The sequence below is a fragment of the Homo sapiens genome, chromosome 11 (genome assembly GCF_000001405.40).
Source record: "Homo sapiens chromosome 11, GRCh38.p14 Primary Assembly".
Classification (NCBI taxonomy): domain Eukaryota; kingdom Metazoa; phylum Chordata; class Mammalia; order Primates; family Hominidae; genus Homo; species Homo sapiens.
In genome coordinates, this window is record NC_000011.10 from 9,718,674 (window position 1) to 9,740,037 (window position 21,364).

The window sequence follows — 21,364 nt, forward strand, 5'->3', positions numbered from 1 at the left end:
TTGTTATCAGTAGTTTTTAGGATTTATAAATTTGAAGTAATACTTCTTTCCAATAATCCACTTACCGTAATGATCATTTGCATTTTGTTTAGAGTGTTTTTTAAGAAAGATTTTTTTTTAAGCCTTAATTAATACAATGTAAAATATAACCAGCCTGGCTTGGTGGTTCATGCCTGCAATCTTTGGGAGGCTGAGGTGGGAGGATTGCTTGAGCTGGGGAGTTTGAGACCAGCCTGGGCAACATGGTGAAACCTCGTCTCTACAAAAAATACAAAAATTAGCTGGGCACAGTGGCACATGCCTGAAGTCTCAGCTACTCGGGAGGCTGAAGTGGGAGGATCACCCAGGAGGCAGACATTGTAGTGAGCTGTGATCATGCCACTGCACTCCAGCCTGGGGGACAGAGCGAGACACTGAATCAAAAAAAAAAAAAAAAAGATATAATTGTCAGCTGGGTGCAGTGGCACACACCTGTAATCCCAGAACTTTGGGAGGCTGAGGCAGGCTGATCACTTGAGCTCAGGAATTCGAGACCAGCCTGGGCAACATGGTGAAACCCCATCTCTGCAAAAAATATAAAAAATTAGCCAGGCAGGGGTGCTGAAGTGGGAGAATCGCTTTAGCCTGGGAGGTCAAGGCTGCTGTGAGCCAAGATCACTCCACTGCCTCCAGCCTGGGTGACAGAATGAGATCCTGTCTCAAAAAAAAAGATATAACCATGGCAGTTAGCCAGGTGTGGTGGTGCATGCCTGTAATCCCAGCTATATGGGAGGTTGAGGCAAGAGAATCGCTTGAACCCAGGAGGTGGAGGTTGCAGTGAGCCGAGATCGTGCCACTGGGCAACAAAGCGAGACTCCATCTAAAAAAAAAAAAAGTTAATGTTTGCTTCTGATTCAGTTTTCTGTTACCCAGAAAGTAGTGTCAAGTATGTTAAATAAATATTTAAGTGACTTACATAGTGAAGTTAAGATGTTTCTGTCACATAGTTGTAAGAAATAGTGTGTCCCCATTTGAGTTCGTTCCATAATTTTTGTTAGAATATATTCCTGGAAATATGTGCCTGCCAAGTACAGTTTTTATTTAGTATTTGTTTCTCACAGAACCAGGAACAAAACAGGATGTGTCTCTTGTGTACCTATTTGGAAGAATTGCCTTGATGCAGTTAAAAATTGAACCTGAAATAGTTTTAAGAGACCCTAAATAAATAAAACCTATTAAGCCAATAAAATGCCCCTTATTAATGATGATAGAGAAAGCATTTTTAATAAAATAAATTTTGGAACTGAAGGCCTCGAAAATCACATGCATCTTGAAAGTTTTTTCTTTGTTATTTTTGGTGAAACTTGCTTGGAAGGAGGAAGTAAGCTGCTTCCTGAAACTGAATGAGCTCTTAGAATTGATGCAGGCCACTAGAGACTAAAACGGCAACACATGATTTATTATTTAGTATAATTGAATAGTGGAGAATGGTAATGTTTGTCTCTCCTTGGCCCAATATAATGAATCAAAAGGCCCTTAAGTTATTTGGTTATGATACGTATATGATTGTGTTGAAAGTCAGCAGGAAATGAATCTAGATTAGTTGTCTGGCACAGTCACTGGGAATGCTGAGCAGATCGAAGCTGGGTGCTAATGACAACTTCATAAGGCTTGGGAGGGCACCTTCAGAAAGGTTCAGGATGAACCTGGCAAGCTACTTCTAGAGCTGAGTTTGCTACTAATAGGCGCTTTCTGAGTTACAAACATAACAAGTCATCTGATTTTGAAGAAACTGAAGCTTGGAGTGTGAATGACGTGGGTTCAGTAAGAGGTAGGTGAGGAAGAGCTAAGGCTGATTCTTGACTTGTGCCAGGACATGGTCATTCGGCTCTACCATCTTGTCTCACCCACGTGTAGTCATACTGCACACACATGTGGCTATACACATGTGCTTCCTTTGCCTTGCTACTAAAACTTCGACTTGTGCCTGTATTCCCTGTACCCCAAGTTGTAATCTGCCAGCCTGGGCCCTTCTTTTTGCTGCCTTAGGGAGATTGAATTTCTGTACCTGTTAATGCTACTGCTTATTGTACCTTGAGCAATTGTTTATCTTAATGTCCTTTTTGACTCTCTTTTTCTTGCTTTTATCTCTTCAATCTCTTCTTATTTTTTATTTTTTTAAAGATGGAGTCTAGCTCTGTCTCCCAGGCTGGAGCACAGTGGCGCGATCTTGGCTCACTGCAATCTCTGCCTCCTGGCTTCAAACGGTTCTCCTACCTCAGCCTCCCGAGTAGCTAGGATTACAGGTGCGCACCACCACACCCAGCTAATTTTTGTATTTTTAGTAGAGATGGAGTTTTGCCATGTTGGCCAGGCTGGTCTGGAACTCCTGGCTTCAGGTGATCTGCCCGCCTTGGCCTCCCAAATTGCTGGGATGACAGGCGTGAGCCACCACGCCTGGCGTTCAATCTCTTAATCTTTTTATATCTTTCTCTTTTCTGTCCCATTTTCTCCTTCCCTCTTCCCTTTTCCCTTTTTCTTAACATTTTCTTTTTTTCTCTTCCTCTGCCTATCCCTGTTACTTCTCTTTAAAGAGCCAAGGAAATACCTGATAATATCTGATAAGTTTAACAGTAGATGACATATCTCCAACAAGAGAAAGAAAAGATCTAAGCGTGTTTTTCTCCAACAAGTAAATTTTGGTAAACACTTACCATGTGCTGTTTTTAGGGTATAAGATAAATCTTTGTCCTAAAAGAGCTTATAGCATCTCATCAAATTAAATCAATAGACCTTTTAATATATTTTTTCTTTCTTTCTTTTTTTTTTTTTTTAATGAGATAGGGCCTTGTTCTGTTGCCCAAGCTCAAGTGCAGTGTTGTGGTCATAGCTCACTGTAACCTCAAACTCCTTGGCTCAAGCAGTCTTCCCTGTTTAGCCTCCTGAGTAGCTGGGACTACAGGCATGTACCACCACACCTGGCTAACTTTTTAATTTTTCTGTAAAGATGAGATCTTGCCATGTTGCCTAGGCTGATCTTGAATTCCTGGCCCCAAGTGATGCTCCTGTCTCAGCTTCCCAAAGGGATTACAGGCTTGAGCCATCACACCTGGCTTCTCTTGATATTTTTTGAACTTGTGATATTTTGTGAATATATATGCCTTTGCAAACATGCATGTCTATTTTTCTGTTAAAATATGTTATTTTACAAAAAACATTATAACCAAATTATTGGAAATGCAAAGAAGAAAAAGGAAAAAAATTAACTCATGATCCTATTGTAACAAATTAAACCTACTGTTTCTGACAAATAGTTGTCAAAATAATTACATAATCTTCGTGCAGTAGAAATAATAGGTAAATTTAGTTTTGTATTCTTCACTTTCTTTTGTTTCATAAATGCTTTCTTTAAATGTAATTTTGAATGGTTGAATAGTATTTCACTCAGTGCAGAAGGGAAGCAACATTAGTGGAGTACCTACTATGTGATGGGCATTGTGCAAATTGCTCTGTATTTGTCTCATTTCACCCCACAGCATTTCTGTAAGTATTATTATGCCCATTTCATAGATGAGAAAATTAAGGCTTACTTAGTTAATTTCAGTTTAGCAAACATTAGTTGAGCTCTGAGGTACCACGCTGAGCTTTGGGGATTAAAGATGAGTGGGACATGGTTCCTCCTACAAGGAATGCAGAAAATGGTAGAAAAGCGAATGAGTGAAAATACGTTAAGTGCAGTGACCTAGAAAAGGAACACGTGACCTGGGTTAGGGTTGGTCAGAGCAGGTTTGCTAAAGCAGCAGTGCTTCTCAAAACTTTAGTGTGCAAATGGAAGTACTAGGGGTTTTAATTAAAATACAGATTCTGATTTTTGGTCCTTTGGTTGGTCTGACAGTCTTCATTTCTAACAAGCTTCCAGGTGGTGCCGACGTCACTGGTCCGCATGCTTCGTTTTGAGTAGGAATATTCTAGAGGATGTAGGACTTGAATAAATACCAATTAACTGGGTCGAGAGGTGGGAAAAGGTATTCTAGACAGAGAAGACAGAGTGGGGAATGACATAAAGCATAAGGAAAATATGGTAAGAGGGTAAACTACTTATAATCTATGGCAAGTGGTGGCAAACTACAGCTTGCTGGCTAAATCCAGCCCACAGCCTATATTTGCGTGGCACATGTGCTAAGGAATAGTTTTTATATTTCTAAAGGGTTGTAAAAAAACAAAATCAAGGAAGAACACATGATAGGGAGGCACAAAGCTTAAATATTTACTGTTCAACCCTTTACAGTAAAAGTTTGCATCCCCTGATCTATGGTATTGGTGGTATTGGTGGAGTGTAAAGTCTGAGGTGGGACATGTTTGAGAAAGTAGGCTGGGGGATGATCACCAAGGGATGCAGAGGAGCTTGGCCTCTGTCTTTGAGGTGATAGGGAGCCAGGGCAGGGCTTAAAGAGGGGAGGGTCAGGCTCTGGCTTTTGTTTTAGAAAAATCCCTCTGGCAGAATATGTATAAAAGGTGGCGACCTGGAGGTACAGATACCAACCAGGAGGCCCGACCAAAAGCAGATCAAATAGGAGTGACAGAGTTCAGAGCTGCCTGGGACAAAGTTTTAAATTTTATTTTCACTGCAACCCATAGGAAGATAAACATTTTATATCATGACCCAGCACACACACACACTCAAAGCAAAACTTATCACAAAACACTATTTCTTTATTGTGGATGAACTCACATGTTTTTCATTCCATTAAAAAAAAATGCTGGTTGCTGCCCACTAAGTTGACTTCATAGTGGGCCATAACCCACAGTTTTCAAACTTATTAGGGAGCTCATTTAGGGAAATAAAACAGCAGGATTATATCCTTGGTTTGATGTGGGGGTTGGGGAGCAAGAATCCTGACATGGATGTGTGAATGGTGTTATTCCTAATGGAAATCAATAATACAGCGGGGAAGCCATTTGGAAAGTAGAGAGGATTCATTCATTTTTGGACATATGTTGAGTTTGAGAGCACTGTATAGGATATTTGGGCTTTCCAGAAAATAAGAGGTATCAATTCTCATTCAGTTTTACTGCCTTATTGTTTTGTTTAACTGCTGTTATTTCTTTCCTTCTTTACTTTTTTTTTTTTTTTTTTTTGAAACAAGAGTCTTGCTCTTGCCCAGGCTGGAGTGCAGTGGCACAATCGCCGCTCACTGCAACCTCTGTCTTCAAGGTTCAAACGATTCTCATGCCTCAGCCACCTGAGTAGCTGGGATTACAGGTGTGCGCCACATGCCTGGCTAACTTTTTTGTATTTTTAGTAGAGACAGGGTTTCGCCATGTTGGCCAGGCTGGTCTTGAACTCCATGCCTCAAGTGATCCTCCTGCCTTGGCCTCCCAAAGTGTTGGGATTATAGGCATGAGCCACTGCTCCTGGCCTAACTGCTATTATTTCAATAGCAGTATTTTCTACACAAAGTATGATGTTTTAGGATTTAGTAAGCTTTTCCTGCTCATGCTAGGTATTCCACCATTATTTACAACATTGTAGTGTTCCAGTGGGAGGAAGCAGCATGAATTTTAAATAATTGGCTTATGTGGAAAGTTTGTAAATTGATCAATAACTTGTACATATTACTTTGAGATGTTTAATTTAGCGCTTGTTTGTTGAGTAAGACTAATGTTCTGATATATTGAAATATTTAACAGCGAGTAATCAGATCACATTAATTAGTTTGTATGCTGTCATATATCTGCAGTTTGTTTTAGTTCTGCAGACAAATATACTACACTATTAGAGGGTTATCAGTTTTTGATTCCTTTACTTATTCTGCACTAATACAGACCAGTGGCATTTTATTTATACTTCTCTCCCTGTATTTTAGGAGACTCTAAAGGTAGGCATTTTTGGAACTGTAAAGAGTATTTCCTAAGTTGAACTTATCAGTGTTTATAACATAAATACATAACTATGTTAAAGTTTTTTTTAACTAGGAAATAATTATTTCACATTCTTTATGTAGATTGAATACCTGCTTAAGAAGCTTACAGAAGCTATGGGAGGAGGTTGGCAGCAAGAACAATTTGAACATTATAAAATCAACTTTGATGACAGTAAAAATGGCCTTTCTGCATGGGAACTTATTGAGCTTATTGGAAATGGACAGTTTAGCAAAGGCATGGACCGGCAGACTGTGTCTATGGCAATTAATGAAGTCTTTAATGAACTTATATTAGATGTGTTAAAGCAGGTAAGAATTCTGTTACTGTTTTTTTTTCTCATCTTTAGAATTTGACATTTTAAAATTAATATTTTTGTCACAAAGATGAGTATAAGTCACTTATTTTCTTACACTGATTTCGTTTTTTTATTTTTTGTTTTTTTGAGACAGTCTTGCTCTGTCGCCCAGTCTGGAGTGCAGTGACGTGATCTTGGCTTACTGCAACCTCCATCTCCTGGGTTCAAGGGATTCTCTTGCCTTGAAGGCATGCACCCCCATGCCCAGCTAATTTTTGTATATTTAGTAGAGATGGGGTTTTACCATGTTGGCCAGGCTGGTCTCGAATGCCTGACCTCAAGTGATCCACCCACGTCGGCCTCCCAAAGTGCTGGGATTACAGGTGTGACCCACTGGGCCTGGCCTGATTTTGAATAGGAATAAAATTTCTTATTTTTCCAGTCTTGTATTAGGCTTTCATTAAAAAAAATTATTTGTGCGATTTTAAAGTACAGTTAAGAATACAGTTAAAATATATATATATATTTTGGCTGGACGTGGTGGCTCATGCCTGTAATCCCAGCACTTTGGGAGGCTGAGGCGGGTGGATCACCAGGTCAGGAGCTCAAGACCATCCTGGCCAGCATGTTGAAACCCTGTCTGTATTAAAAATACAAAATATATATATATATATATATATATATATATATATATATATTTTTTTTTTTTTTTTTTTCCAAGACGGAATTTCACGCTGTCACCAGGCTGGAGTGCAGTGGCATGATCTTGGCTCACTGCAACCTCCGCCTCCCGGGTTCAAACAATTCTCCCGCCTCAGCCTTTTGAGTAGCTGGGACTACAGGTGTGCGCCACCACGTCCAGCTAGCTTTTGTATTTTTAGTAGAGATGGGATTTCACCAGGTTGGCCAGGACGGTCTCGATCTTTTGACCTTGTGATCCACCAGCCTTGGCCTCCCAAAGTGTTGGCATTACAGGCGTGAACCGCCGCGCCCAGGCCATTTCCAAAATATTTTATTTTGGAAATTCATAACCACTGATCCAGAAAGATCTCCATGGCATAACGTTGAGTGAAAAAAAACCACATTGCTGAACAGGAGATATCTTGTAATCCCCTTCAGGTAATGTTATGCATGTGTGTAGAGCTGTCAGGAAGGTGCTTGCTAAAATGTTTACAGTGATCACCTCTAGATTGTGGGATTTTGGTGAATTTTTTTCTTCTTTATTCCTTTCTGTATTATTGGACTTTCTATATGATTTTATATTATTTTTATAAAATCAGAAAAATACCTCTACTTGTGGAAAAAAAAATACCTTTATGTAGCAAAGTTGCTTTTGTCTTATTTAGACTGTCCTCTTTTTCTCAGCACCCAGCATAGCAGATGAAGCTCGATGCTTGTTAAATACAATTTATATTTTTTTGGTGATTCTTTGAAACTTCTTACATTATTATATTGAATAATAACTGATTTGGGATTTCCTTACTTTGATCCTTTCTTTCTTCCATAGGTAATAGTGTTGTCTTTGTTCTTTTTTTTCCTAATGGAGCACATCATAAATGTTGAGGCTGAATTTGTATAGGTTTTTGGTGCTACAAAGAGGTATGAGACGTGGTCTCCATCTGAAGTGGAATTCTCAGCCTCTTAGGATGGCAGGATATGACTGTAGTAGAATTGCCGTATGAGATAGCTTTTGCTTAAATGTCCAAAGATTAGGAAACTGAATATGTAATATGATTAGAACTTAATATAATAACCAACTGAAACTTACAATCAATATCATATATATTTAATGATATGTATATTCTATCATGCGCTATCAGCACCTGTAGATTTAATACTAAAAATAGCAGCTATTCTTAAACAAGCCTGAAGGGCTTTGGCCTATAATAATGTATAATTTTGCTTAAGTAAACATTTGAGTCACACACCTTTGAGGCCAGTCTGTGGGAAGGAAATACAGAACTAGTGAGTGTGAGCTTAGAAGCCACATTTAGAAGCCAGTATTTGAACTCCTGGTGCAGTATTTTCCTGTTGGTCTGGGGCAGAGTTCCTCCTTCAGAATATTGAGAGGTCAGGCAGAAAGGTAGGTTGGTACCAGAGGTGGAAGTCCTTGAATATTTGGTTTAGAAGATATATGTGGCCAAGCTTTAGCATTTTCATTGATTGAGGTTTTACTTACCTCAGTCATTTAACATTTTCAGTGACTGAGGTTTTACTTATTTTATTTAAAAATTTTGGCTGGACGTGGTGGCTCACGCCTATAATCCCAGCACTTTGGGAGGCTGAGGTGGGCGGATCACGAGGTCAGGAGCTTGAGACCATCTGGCCAACATGTTGAAACCCCATCTCTATTAAAAATTCAAAAATTAGCCAGGCATGGTGGCATGCGCTTGTAGTCCCAGCTACTCAGGAGGCTGAGGCAGGAGAATCATTTGAACCTAGGAGGCAGAGAGGTTGCAGTGAGCCGAGATTGCACCCACTGCACTCCAGCCTGGGCGACAGAGCGACACTCCTAAAAAAAAATTTTTTTTTTGTAGAAATGAAGTCTCACTATGTTGCCCACACTGATCTTGAACTCCTGGCCTCAAGCGATCCTCCTGCCTTGGCCTCCCAAAGTGCTGGGATTACAGGCATGAGCCACTGCATCAGGCCTGATCGAGGTTTTAATTTACAGAGAATCATTGTTAGGGGTTCATTCTTTCTTTTTAAGTGGAATAGACCAGTATAATGAACTCCCACATATGCATCAACCAGCTCCAGTAACCACCACCATGTGGCTAATCCTACCCCACCTACTTTTACCTCTCCTGTATTATTTTGAAGCAAATCTCAGGTATTTTATTTTGTTTATAAATATTTCAATAGGTATCTCTAAAAGATAATGATTTTTTAGAAATCTCAAATGCTACTTAATGTCAAGGGGATTCTATTGTCTGCATATCACTTTGGGGAGGGGTTGTCTCTGAAGTGTCTGAAATTATATGCAAATTTTTGTCTGGTTATGCTTGCATGACTAGGTGTAATGCCCCTCCATAGATTCTCAGAGGATCCAAGAACAATTGGTGTTCATGTTTTCAGGATCATATATCAAATAATGGAGTAGGCAAGTATATCAAGGAAGAGATGTCAGCTCTTACAAATAAAAAGACAATAATTTATATCACATTTAATCTTTCACAGGGTTACATGATGAAAAAGGGCCACAGACGGAAAAACTGGACTGAAAGATGGTTTGTACTAAAACCCAACATAATTTCTTACTATGTGAGTGAGGATCTGAAGGATAAGAAAGGAGACATTCTCTTGGATGAAAATTGCTGTGTAGAGGTGAGTCTACTCTTACTTCTTTGCATGATTACCCCGTGCTGCCCCCTGATGCTGAAGTAGCTTCTCACCTTCTTCCACCTAGACTCTAGAACCTTAAAATAATCCCCAAATTTACATTTCCAAAATAATATAGGCATGCAGTTGCCATGGTTTCTGAACCAAAAATTAAACATAGCTGACAAAATTTTTTTCTAATGTGAATTTATTTTCAACCTTCTACTCGTGAATAAAGTATAAGGATTAAATCATTTATTGGAACATTTAAGGAATCATTTATTGAATAAAATGGAGTCATAAAAGAGATAATAAAGTAAAAAAAAGTTCAGTAAGACAATATTTGGAATAAAGAATATGCCAGAAAATCTGGGACATTTTGAGTGCAAGAAATAAAAGAAGATGTAAGCATTGTCTTTGAATACTTTGGGTGACTTTCAGGACACTTTATTCATAGGTACTAATTCTTTAAAGAAGTGAAATTCTCAAGAACATAAATTTTTGAGTTTTTAATTTTTATATGAACTGTCCCCGTGTCTGTATGTGTTGAAGAACATTTAAATACCTGAAATCTCACACATAAACTATAATGTATTTTAGTGAATAATAATGTCTTGAGATGTGTGATGCCCATGAAGGAGTCTGCTTAGATTTAACTAAACATGGAGATCTACAAGGTTACCAAAGGCCAGTTTACTCATAAACATATAGGACAGAAACCACGGGTTGCCAGCCACAACATTCCAAGTGCAAGAAGAGAAAGCCACATTAAGCAGATGTAGGAATCACCCTGGCTTAGGTGCTTCATATCCCATAGGAGTTAATACCTCTTGTAACATCATCACAGATGTACCTTCCAGGATTCCTGCAAGGGAGGTGCTCAGGATAAGAGCTGCTATACTCAGGAAATCCCAATGCATGGCATCCTATCAGGTGTTTATAGTTTTACCAGTCTAGATGTAGTATACCAACTGGGGTCATTTTTACCATAAGTAATGTGCTTAGGAAACAGCATTAGTAAATCAGTAATATGAATTTATAGGTATTTTTCATTGACATTAAGTTTCAGCTCATTTTTATAAATAATTCAAATTGAATTTCATTTAAATACTTAAAATTTTGAGGAACTAATTTTGCTTTCTGTTTTAGTCCTTGCCTGACAAAGATGGAAAGAAATGCCTTTTTCTCGTAAAATGTTTTGATAAGACTTTTGAAATCAGTGCTTCAGATAAGAAGAAGAAACAGGAGTGGATTCAAGGTAAGGTGATTTTTTATTATTTGCCATGATATAACTTGAAAGCTCTGACTTTCTTTTTTTTTTCTGAGACGGAGTCTTGCTCTGTTGCCCGGGCTGTAGTGCAGTGGTGCTATCTTGGCTTACTGCAACCTCCACCTCCTGGGTTCAAGCAATTATCCTGTCTCAGCCTCCAGAGTAGCTGGGACTATAGCCACCACGCCCAGCTAATGTTTTTGTAATTTTAGTAGAGACGGGGTTTCACCATGTTGGTCACGCTGGTCTCAATCTCCTGACCTTGTGATCCACCTGCCTTGGCCTCCCAAAGTGCTGGGATTACAGGCGTGAGCCACTACGCCTGGCCGAGAGCTCTGACTTTCTAGTTTTGAATCTCATGAAGGATGCTAAGGCGTTACTTCCTCATTGTAGTTATTTTCTGCATGTGATACAGTAGCTGAGAGAAAAACAAATTAAGATGCGCTCTCAAAGTTTTCATTAGTTTTATTTGCATAATGAACTTTGGGTAAATTATAAATGGGAGATTTACTTTTTAAATAGATTTTGGGGTTGCAAGTATAGTTCTGCTACAGTGATATATTGTGTAGTGATGAAATCTGGGCTTTTAGTGTAATCATCACTCGCATAGTTGCTGTTAGGTAATTTCTCATCCCTTGCCGGCCTCCTGCCTTCCCACATTTCTGAGTCTCCAATGTCTATTATTCCTTGCTGTATGTCCATGTGTACACATATTTTAGTTCCCACTTATAAATAAGAACATGTAGGCCGAGTGCGGTGGCTCATGCCTATAATCCCAGCACTTTGGGAGGCAGAGGCGGGTGGATCATGAAGTTGGGAGATCGAGACCATCCTGGCTAACACGGTGAAACCCCGTCTCTACTTAAAAAAAAAAAAAAAAAAAGAACATGTATTTTATGTTCTGTTTATGGGTTATTTCAAGAAATACTTCAAGATAATAGCCTCCAGTTCTATCCATATTGCTGCAAAAGACATTATTTCATTCTTTTTTTATGACTGAATAGTATTCCAAGGTATATGTGTGTATGCACACACTACAACTGTTGGTGGACACCTGGGTTGATTCCATATCTTAGAGATTTTAGGTTTTACTTATTCTTATTATTTGAAGAATATAGAATTTTCCCTTTTAAGGACTGTGAAGAATTTTAAAGTGGCCATCTTGAGCTTGAGGTAATATGTAAAAGAAAAGAGGAATTATGCAATAGTTTTTTAATACTTCAAGTGATTTTCAAGATCCATTACTTCCACAAGAAATCACTAGTTTTGGGTAACTCAGGAACACAAACTTTTGAATTAATAACCTTTAAAAAAAATTTCAACTTTTATTTTAGATTCAGGGGTACATGTGCAGGTCTGTTACATGGGTATATGTGTAATGCCGAAGTTTGGGGTATGATTGAATCTATCACCCAGGAAGTGAGCATTGTACCCAACAGCTAGAGTTTTCCAACCTCTTCCCCCGTCTCTACCTCCCGTCCCAGTAGTCCCTAGTGTCTGCTGTTGCCACTTTTATGTCCATGAGTACCCAGTTTTTAGCTCCCACTTATTAGTGAGAACATTCATTATTTGGTTTTCTGTTCTGCGTTAATTTGCTTAGCATAGTGGCCTCTAGCTGCATCCATGTTGCTGCAGAAGACATGATTTTGTTCTTTTTTATGGCTCCGTAGTGAATGAATAACTTTAAAGTGTTCCATTATTCCAAAATTGGTAAAGAATAAAATGCAATACAAGAGGGCTTTTTAAAAAAAATCCTGAAAGGAGATTCTGAATATTATATTCTTAGACGTAGATAAAATTATGTTATATTGGAGAATGTAGTCATTTTTGATGTGGTTTAAGAGTTCGAGGCAAATGCACCTGGTTTGAATGCTCTTTCCTGGGTCTCTTGGGTTGAGTTATAAATTCTGTAACTGCTTTTCTCTTCTGTGGAGTGGGGATAATAATAGTGCATTCTTCCCAGGGTTGTGGTGAGGATTAGAAAATAGATAATGACAGATATACTCACACATTTTTCAAAATGACATAGATTGCAAACAATCTAGCTATCTATTAATAGGGAAATGGTTGAATAAGTTATGGTTTAGCTGCACAGTGGTGTACCATGCAGTACTTCATGTATAGTACTTTTGGTGTGCCATGCAGTACTTTATGTATAGTACTTTATGTATTGCTACTGGGAACTGTGAGATAGATTAAATAAAAAAAACTGAGGGTCAGAAGAGTGTGTTGTGCCACTGTTTGTGTGAAAAGAAGGTGGAAGACATATATACATACTTATTTGTATAGGCTTATACTATCTCAGGAAAGATGCATAAAAACTGTTAGCATTAGTTGCTAGTGGGGAGGGGAATCTAGTACTTGAGGGACAGGAGTAGGAGGGAGACTTTCCTGTGTGTCTTTTGAATTTGAATAATGTGAAAGTGTTAGCTATTCAAGAAATTACATTTAAGTAATTTAAAATATCAAAAGAAAAATCAGATGTTGTATAACAGTTAGATAATGCATGTAAAGGATGTATTTATTTTATTTTTAAAATAAATGACAGCTGCTGTTACCTGTTATCTCAGGAAGGGGTTGCATAAGGCATGGATGATAGGCCAACTAAACACAGTAGGTTGCAAATTAGATATCAGAAATTTGAATCTCTGTCCTTACTGTGTCTTAATCTTGTTTGGCTTTTTGAAAAGTATAGAGAAAGGAGTCGAAAGTATTGTCATTAGTTCTTAAAAATGTGTGCAATATTCCCAGATCGAGTGTTTCTGAGCACAGATACAGTTAACAGAATTTTGGAGCGAGAAAGGACTTTATAGATCATCTCTCTCATTTTAAAGATGTGGAAACTGATGCTGCAAGAGGTTATTTCTTGAGGGGAGCTCTGAAAAAAAACCAAGAGGTTATGTGACTGCTCAGGGTCACACCACTATGGAGTGACAAAATCAGAATCTACACTGGGCCTTCTGGCTCCCTGTCTCATTTTCTTCCCACTGTGCCATTTGCATAGTAGGCTTACAAAGAATAAATAATATCTCCCCATTTTTTTTTTCCTCCTACACCTTTTACAGCCATTCATTCTACTATTCATCTGTTGAAGCTGGGCAGCCCTCCACCACACAAAGAAGCCCGCCAGCGTCGGAAAGAACTCCGGAAGAAGCAGCTGGCTGAACAAGAGGAACTGGAGCGACAAATGAAGGAACTCCAGGCCGCCAACGAAAGCAAGCAGCAGGAGCTGGAGGCCGTGCGGAAGGTGGGAATGGGCGCTGGGCTGGGAGAGGGCCCTTCATTCCCCTGCAGAAGCCATCGTGCCTTGCTTAGGGGTGTTGGTTCTACCAAGATGAATGTAGTGCAGTTTTAGGGAGATACTTGTGGTGAACTGTTCTCAGAAGTGTTTCCAGACCATCAAGTGAGACATACTGGTTTTCCTAGCCCTGAAACTATGTTGATCTCGGCAGCAAAAACATTTCATTGGCTAGGAAGGAATATTTTAAATAATAATGAGCACAGTTGAATTTCGTCAGAAGAAGATGGGAAATTTCATTCCCTTGAGGGTGTCAAGGCTGTTCTTACTGGCCTGGACAAGGTGTGTTGCTTTTTAGTTTTCTCCTTAGCTCCCATCTTCACTCATGAGTACCTTGGAAGACCCTTACTTTAGAACTGTTAGTTTTACCTACTGTTTGGAGTTAAAGATACAGTCTGGGTCAGCTTTTCCTTCCATCTCAAGATTAGGAGGTCAAGTACCATATGCTATATGAGATAGTTGATGTTCACTGGGAACACTTCCTCGGTTATGTCGTGATCCCAGGGGTGGTAGTGAGTCCCCAGTATATGGATATGGTCTTTATTTGAGACACTTTTGGGCTGAGTCTGTCTGCCTTGAATCAATGAGCACTTGCTAACCACAAGCTCAAGGACTCTTTCATGCACATCTGTGCAAAAACTTTGCTCTGGGATATGGGGGTGGCTCATAATCTGTGACTCTACATACCTAGTGGGGTTCTCCCTTGGTAACCCGTAGAAATGCCACATTGTGTGCTGAACTTCCTCTGAGTAGAGTAGACTCATGAAGATTTTTAAGAATGCTTTTATAATCTTAGGAACTGCATGGGCATATATATAATCTTAGAAAAAGTTATTACTATCACACACTTACTTTCTAAAAGCAGCTCCTCATTTCTTACTGCCTCCCACCCTTGAAACAGTCTTGCATCTTGCCTCTTTCTGCTGCAATATATTTTCTGTAAAAATTCCCTTTAAAGGTTACGCTGAGCACCTGCCGTATGTGATTGCTGCTGCTTCCTTCCACTGTGCACACATCAAAAGTGGGTGTTATGAGGGAATGGTGGGGAGCTAGAACTTGGTGTCCTTTTTTATAATTTTAAAATTATAAAATAGCTCGTACCTGTAGAGGAGAATATGAAATATGTATATACAAATAATCATACAGTGAATACCCATGAAAATACTACCCAGGTTAAGATAGATTATTGCCAATACAGGTTGAGTATCCCTTATCCGAAATGCTTATGACCCAAAGTGTTTCAGATTTGGGATTTTTTTGGATTTTGGAATGTTTACATTATATACTGTATTTACCAGTTGAGATCCTCTTGCCTTAGCCTCCCAAATCCAAAAGTCTGAAATTGGAAATGCTTCAATGAGCATTTCCTTTGAGCATTATGTCAGAGCTCAAAAAGTTTTGGATTTTGGAGCATTTTATATTCTTTATTCAGGTCTTTCCCTCATCCCTAACCCCTGGAAACCACTGATCAATTCTCTGTTCCTGTATTTTTGCCTTTTCCAAATTGTCATATAAATGGAATCATACAGAATGTACATTTTAAGACCGCATTCTTTGACTTAGCATTGTACATTTGAGATTCATACATTGATGCCCTTTTTAACTTTTAAACTCTGCCTTCCAGGAGCATGTAGTGTTCTGCTCTGTATAATGTGAAGAAGGCATGCCTGGTGTTAGCAAGCTGTAGACCTATGTAGACAGCTTTCCCACTACCTAGGTTTATAGAATTATTTAAAAGACTGATTTAGGATTCTTGGATAAGTGCTGAAAAATTCTTATAGATCGCTTAGTAATCTTTGATTTTCTTGTCAATAAACACAGTTCTCCAATTTTTTCATGGAGGCATTCTTAGAAAAAAACAGCTTAGATGAATATTTAATTAAATTTATTTATTTTGAGACAGGGTCCCGCTCTGTTGTTCAGGCTGGAGTGCAGTGGTGCCATGCTCACTCCCCTGCTCAAGACATCTTCTTGCCTCAATATCTCAAGTAGCTGGGACTACAGGTGTGCACCACCATACCTGGCTAATTTTTTTGTATTTTTAATAGAGATGAGGTTTTGCCATGTTGCCCAGGCTAGTCTCAAACTCCTGGGTTCAAGCAATCCACCCACTTCAGCCTCCCAAAGTGCTGGGATTACAGGAATGAGGCACCATGCCCAGCTGAATCTTTTAATCATCTGGAATTAGGTTACATATCTGTGGGTTTCTTAAAATTTGACAGGCCTCATTTTAATTAGAAGAAGGAATAAGAAATCATGGTAGTTTTTATAAATTAATAGATTTACTTAAAGAATTTACTTAAATTTTTATTTCTACTTTTGTTTCTTTTAAAAAATATAATCATTTGGGTAGGTTCAAAAATATACAAATATAAAAAGGCAGCTGTGAAAGATTTTCTCCCCCTCCCCCACTTATGAATTTCCACCCCTTGCCCAAGGTAAGGAAATATGAATATACATTCTTATTTTCCCATTTGTTAAACACACAAAAGTATATACTAGTGTCACTGTTCTGCCTCCAGTTTATTTCACTTAATATATTTTTTAGATCTTTTCATATCAGTATAAAGAGAGTTACCTCATTCTTTTTTATGGCTGTAGAATATTCTGTTATACAACTGTGTCATTACTTAGTCATTCCCTGTTAGTGAACATTTGGGTTGTGTTAATCTTTTGTTTTAATAGGTAATGCTGTAGGGAATAATCTTGTACCTGTGTCATTGTATATGTGTTCATACATGTTCTGATATCTCTAGGGAATGAATTCTCAGAAGTGGGAATGCTGGGTCAAAGTGTGTAATTATGAAATCCGGGCTGATGGACCAGCCGCCATCTTGAGTGTTGCTATTCACTGTGCCGGAAGAAAAAGTGTTCTAGGGTTTGGCAATGCGGTGCTCCAGCCTAGAAATGTCACACTGTACTTCTATTGATAATATCTTGGTGAGAACTAGTCAGAACTTTCTGATGAGTAGTCAGCTGTCAAGCTTGCAGGAGTTCCCTTGTGTGTGGTAAATCATTTTTCTTTTTCTGCTTTTAAGATTATTTTTTGGTCTTTGTCTTTCAACAGTTTTACTGTGGTGTATGTGGGTGTAGATCTCTTTGTGTTTATCCTGTTTAGAGTGTATTGAACTTGAATATGTAGATTAATGTTTTGCCTTAAGCTGGATAAGTTTTCAGCCACAAATATTTTTTCTACTTTTTTTTCCCTCTTCTGATACTTTCGTTATGCAAATGTTGGTGCACATAATGGTGTCCCACATTTCTCTAAGGCTGTGTTCATTTTTCTTCTTTTTTATTTTCTGTTTTCCAGTTGCATAATTTCTATAGATCTGTCTTTAGTAGATTTTTCTTGTAGCCCAAATATACTGTTGAGTCCCTCTAGTGAATTTTTCGTTTCAGTTATGGGACTTTTTACTTCCAGAATTTCCATTTGGTTTTTTCTGTGATTTATATCTCTTTATTATTCTCTATTTTATGGTATATTGTCATTCCTTCCATTACTTCTCTAAGTATGGTTTCCTTTAGTTATTTGAGCATAAAATATTTATAACTGCTTTGAAGTCTTCATATGCTAAATCCACCATCTGGGCCTCTTCAAAGGCAGTTTCCGTTGCCTGCTTTTTCCCTGTATATGGGCCATACTTTCCTTTTTCTTTGCATGTCTCATAATTTCTTGTAGAAAACTAGACATTTTAGATAATGTGTGGTAGCAACTCTGGATTCTGATTCCACCCCTCTCCCCAGAGGCCTGCTGTTGTTTGCTCCTTTATTTGTTTAGTGACTTGGCTGGACTATTTCAGTGAAGTTTGTTTTCCTCACAGTGTGAAGCTTCTGACTGTTGCTCCTCAGAGGCACAGGCTTGGACAGGAACACAGTCACCCTGCGAAGACCCTGATTTTTGCAGGGCTCTCTTTGAGTGTCTTTCTCTGATCTCTCATTTAAGCTTTCCACCTCTGTTGGTACCACACCAACAGCTGTTAGAGTTCACTAATTTTGTTCTGTTGTTCTCCATAATGCCCTGGAACCTGAATTGCCTCACAGTCTGAGATCATTTAAATTCAGGCCTACATGTAGTCTTTAAGGTCAGTCTTTGAGACTTGTTCCTACTACATGAGAACTCTTCTTAGCTGTCTCTTTCTCTGGTTCTGTCTGTCAGACGTTTGGCTGGTCTGGAAGAGCAGTGGCTCACACCTGTTAATCACTTTGGGAGGACAGGGTGGGAGGATCACTTGAGGCCAGGAATTTGAGACCAGCCTGGGCAACATAGCGAGACCTCATAGCAGTCAACCAACAAACCAACAACACTTTTAGCTGGTCCGTGTGTTAGTGTGTTGTTCTCATGGAGCTTCTGGCCTCCTCTTAATTCTCAGCCACTCTTGCCTGGAATAAAGTTTCTGCAACATGCAGCTGGGGACAAAGAGAAATTCTGGCAGCCAGCCTGCCCCTCCCAGGAAGGTATCATAGCCCTAGGCTTGAGCTGAGGGGAGGGGAACCCTTGTTTGGGGTTCCATCTGCCAGGAGAAGAGCTTTCTTCTCACTGACACTGTGGGGGTGGGGAGGGAGTGCATCATATGCCACAGACCCTCACGATTCTTACTGAGAGTTAGATTTTCTTAGATAAATGTTCTCCATTTTAGAATGTCCTTAGCATAATTTCTAGAGACTTTTAAAGGTTTTGTTTTTTTAACAATAATTTTCACCAGTTATGGTTGTTTTGTTGGGGAAAGGGTCTGTGGAGCTCCTTATGCCACCCTTCTAGAAATTGGTTCTGGTAAAAGTTATAATGAATAATGTATAAGATGAAAAAACTGTACAGAAAGAGCTCAAGAAATAGCTCTCAAATCTCATGAATGTGGCTGGGCATGGTGGCTTACACCTGTAATCCCAGCACTTCGGGAGGCTGAGGTGGGCGGATCACGAGGTCAAGAGATCGACACTATCCTGGCCAACATGATGAAACCCCGTGTCTACTAAAAATACAAAAATTAGCTGGATGTGGTGGTGTGTGCCTGTAGTCCCGGCTACTCGGGAGGCTGAGGCAGGAGAATCACTTGAACCTGGGAGGTGGAGGTTGCAGTGAGCCGAGATCGTGCCACTGCACTCCAGCCTGGCGACAGAGCAAGACTCAGTCTCAAATAAATAAATAAATAAATAAAAATCTCATGAATGCAATCCCAAGTGAATTTAATTCAATGACTGTACTAAAACTTTCTTTGCAAAATGTTGTTCAGGCTTATCAATAGTCTTTCATTTACCTAATTTATTTTGTATGTTGATTCAGCAGATCGTTAGACTGGAATTCTAATGGAGCTAAAAGTTTTTATTCTATTATCTTTATTGAATGTTAAGAATGTTTGGCTTTTCCTGTACTTAAGTATGACTGTCTCTCTCTCTTTAATGTACTTCTACTCTAACACCTGCTTTTCTGTGGATGGGTTTTTGATTGGCTAGAAACTGGAGGAAGCAGCATCTCGTGCAGCAGAAGAGGAAAAGAAACGCCTTCAGACTCAAGTGGAACTTCAGGCCAGGTTCAGCACAGAGCTGGAAAGAGAGAAGCTTGTGAGTATCACATGGCTGGAGAAAGCAGCTGCAGTAGCTCAGCCTGGGTCGGTGGGAACAGGGAAGGGCTGGAGGCTACAGTGAGGCATGTCATCAGCTTGGCTTTGCTACTGACCTGGAATGGGCTGTAGGGGAAGTTGCATGTTTGTTCATTCATTAATTATCTGTTTATTGAACACCTTCTATGTGCCAGGCAGTGTGCCAAAGATGTAATGGCAAAAGACATAAACCTTGTTTTCAAGACTCCTAAGTGGAAATTTATGGAGCCAGGCATGGTGGCCCACTCCTGTAATCCCAGCACTTTGGGAGGCCAAGGCATGAGAATTGCTTGAGCCCAGGAGTTCAAGACCAGCCTGGGCAATATCTACAAAAAAAAAAAAAAAAAAAAGAATTAGCCAGGCCTGTTGGTACATGCCTGTAGTTCCAGCTACTTAGGAGGCTGAGGTGGGAGGATTGCTTGAGCCCAGGAGTTCAAGGCTACTGTGAGCTGTGATTTTGCCACTGCACTCCAGCCTGGGTGACAGAGCAAGGCCCTGTCTCCAAAAAAGAAAAAAAAAGAAATTTGTGGAATGATGTGATAAATGCTTGGTTAGGGTGACTATATTTCCTGGTTTGCCTGGGAGAGTCCCTGCCATTCTGGTATAATTATTAATAACATTCCTTTTCATTCTCAAAACAGTTCTGATTTGGAAAATAAATAGTTATGGAAAAAGTAAGCATAGGTTCCATGGTATATCTCCTCTGTAATAAGCAAGGATGGCGGGGGTGAGATCCTGAAATTGTGAGAACATCTAGAGTCTGATTTGTTGCTCTTGGCAGCTCCGGTTCATCCTAGAGGCTTCCATCTTCAAGAGACCCAAGATCCAGGTTGTCTTAGGTAGTTAGCTGGTTAGCTGGAACACAGGTCTTCTCACATTGAGTGATACTCTGTCAGAGAGTGCTAAGCCCAGTGCCTAAATAGATGCATGTGACATTTCCTCTAGTCACTTTTTGTTATTTAGAGTTGAAAGAGATGTGTTTGTGGTTCAGAGAAAAGAGGAAGGCAAATGTGATGTAGAGAAACAGCCAGAATGTCTGGTCTTGTTTCCTCTCTGGTCCTTCTTACTGAACATTGGCTTTTTCTTCTTTAAGTTCAGGATTATCACATGCTCTCTCATGACTCTTCTGAAGACAGAGTGAGCTAATGCAAGTGAAAATATTTTATCAACTGCAGAGAAATAGGCTAATGTGTTTGTTATATTTAGGATGTTCTTGTCTTGTAATTTTTAAGGCAGGGATTCAAAACTCTGTAATCCAGAAGGGAAAAACCATTAACGTATACAGATTAACTGAAATGCTTGAGTTCCTCTAGGGCTGGAGGTGCCCCAGGGAGTGGAGACAGCCAGGGAAGTGTGGGAGGAATCCCATGCTGGATGACCTTTCCTTCTTCTTTAGTGTAACACTAAAGAAGACTGGGAAAAGGTTCGTTTGCTCTGACTGGGAAAAGGTTCGTTCCTTTTAGAGAAGACCCTATTGGTAAAAAGATTGTGACTTTAAGACAGAAAGGAATTTAGAGAGAAATTACACAAGGAAACATTTTTTTCTTGACTTGAGTCTTAAAATGTGGAGTGGAAGGGATGGAAAATACAGCAGGGCAGAACATAATTTGGGTTATAATTTGCTCTTCCCAGACTCTTTCACTATTGCGATTGGGTGTGGTACCCTCATCTCCTCCATC

At 39.3% G+C, this 21,364-nt stretch overlaps 1 protein-coding gene across 2 annotated transcripts in view, besides 1 other annotated feature; it reads left to right on the forward strand.

The window, feature by feature from the left end:
- SWAP70 (switching B cell complex subunit SWAP70) overlaps nt 1–21,364 on the forward strand; it is an 88,917-nt gene that overhangs the window by 54,597 nt on the left and 12,956 nt on the right. For both annotated transcript variants that reach the window (NM_015055.4, NM_001297714.2), the window contains 5 exons: nt 5,985–6,212; nt 9,380–9,526; nt 10,670–10,778; nt 13,856–14,037; nt 19,540–19,647. In NM_015055.4, the coding sequence (NP_055870.2) occupies nt 5,985–6,212; nt 9,380–9,526; nt 10,670–10,778; nt 13,856–14,037; nt 19,540–19,647 (774 nt within the window). The remainder of the gene's footprint in view (nt 1–5,984; nt 6,213–9,379; nt 9,527–10,669; nt 10,779–13,855; nt 14,038–19,539; nt 19,648–21,364) is intronic.
- Nucleotides 553–1,053: an enhancer, noted in NCBI's record as "H3K27ac hESC enhancer chr11:9740773-9741273 (GRCh37/hg19 assembly coordinates)". NCBI's record gives its function as "activates a minimal SCP1, AML or CMV promoter by ChIP-STARR-seq in primed H9 embryonic stem cells {active_cell/tissue: H9 hESC(primed)}" and the evidence as "EXISTENCE:reporter gene assay evidence [ECO:0000049][PMID:30033119]".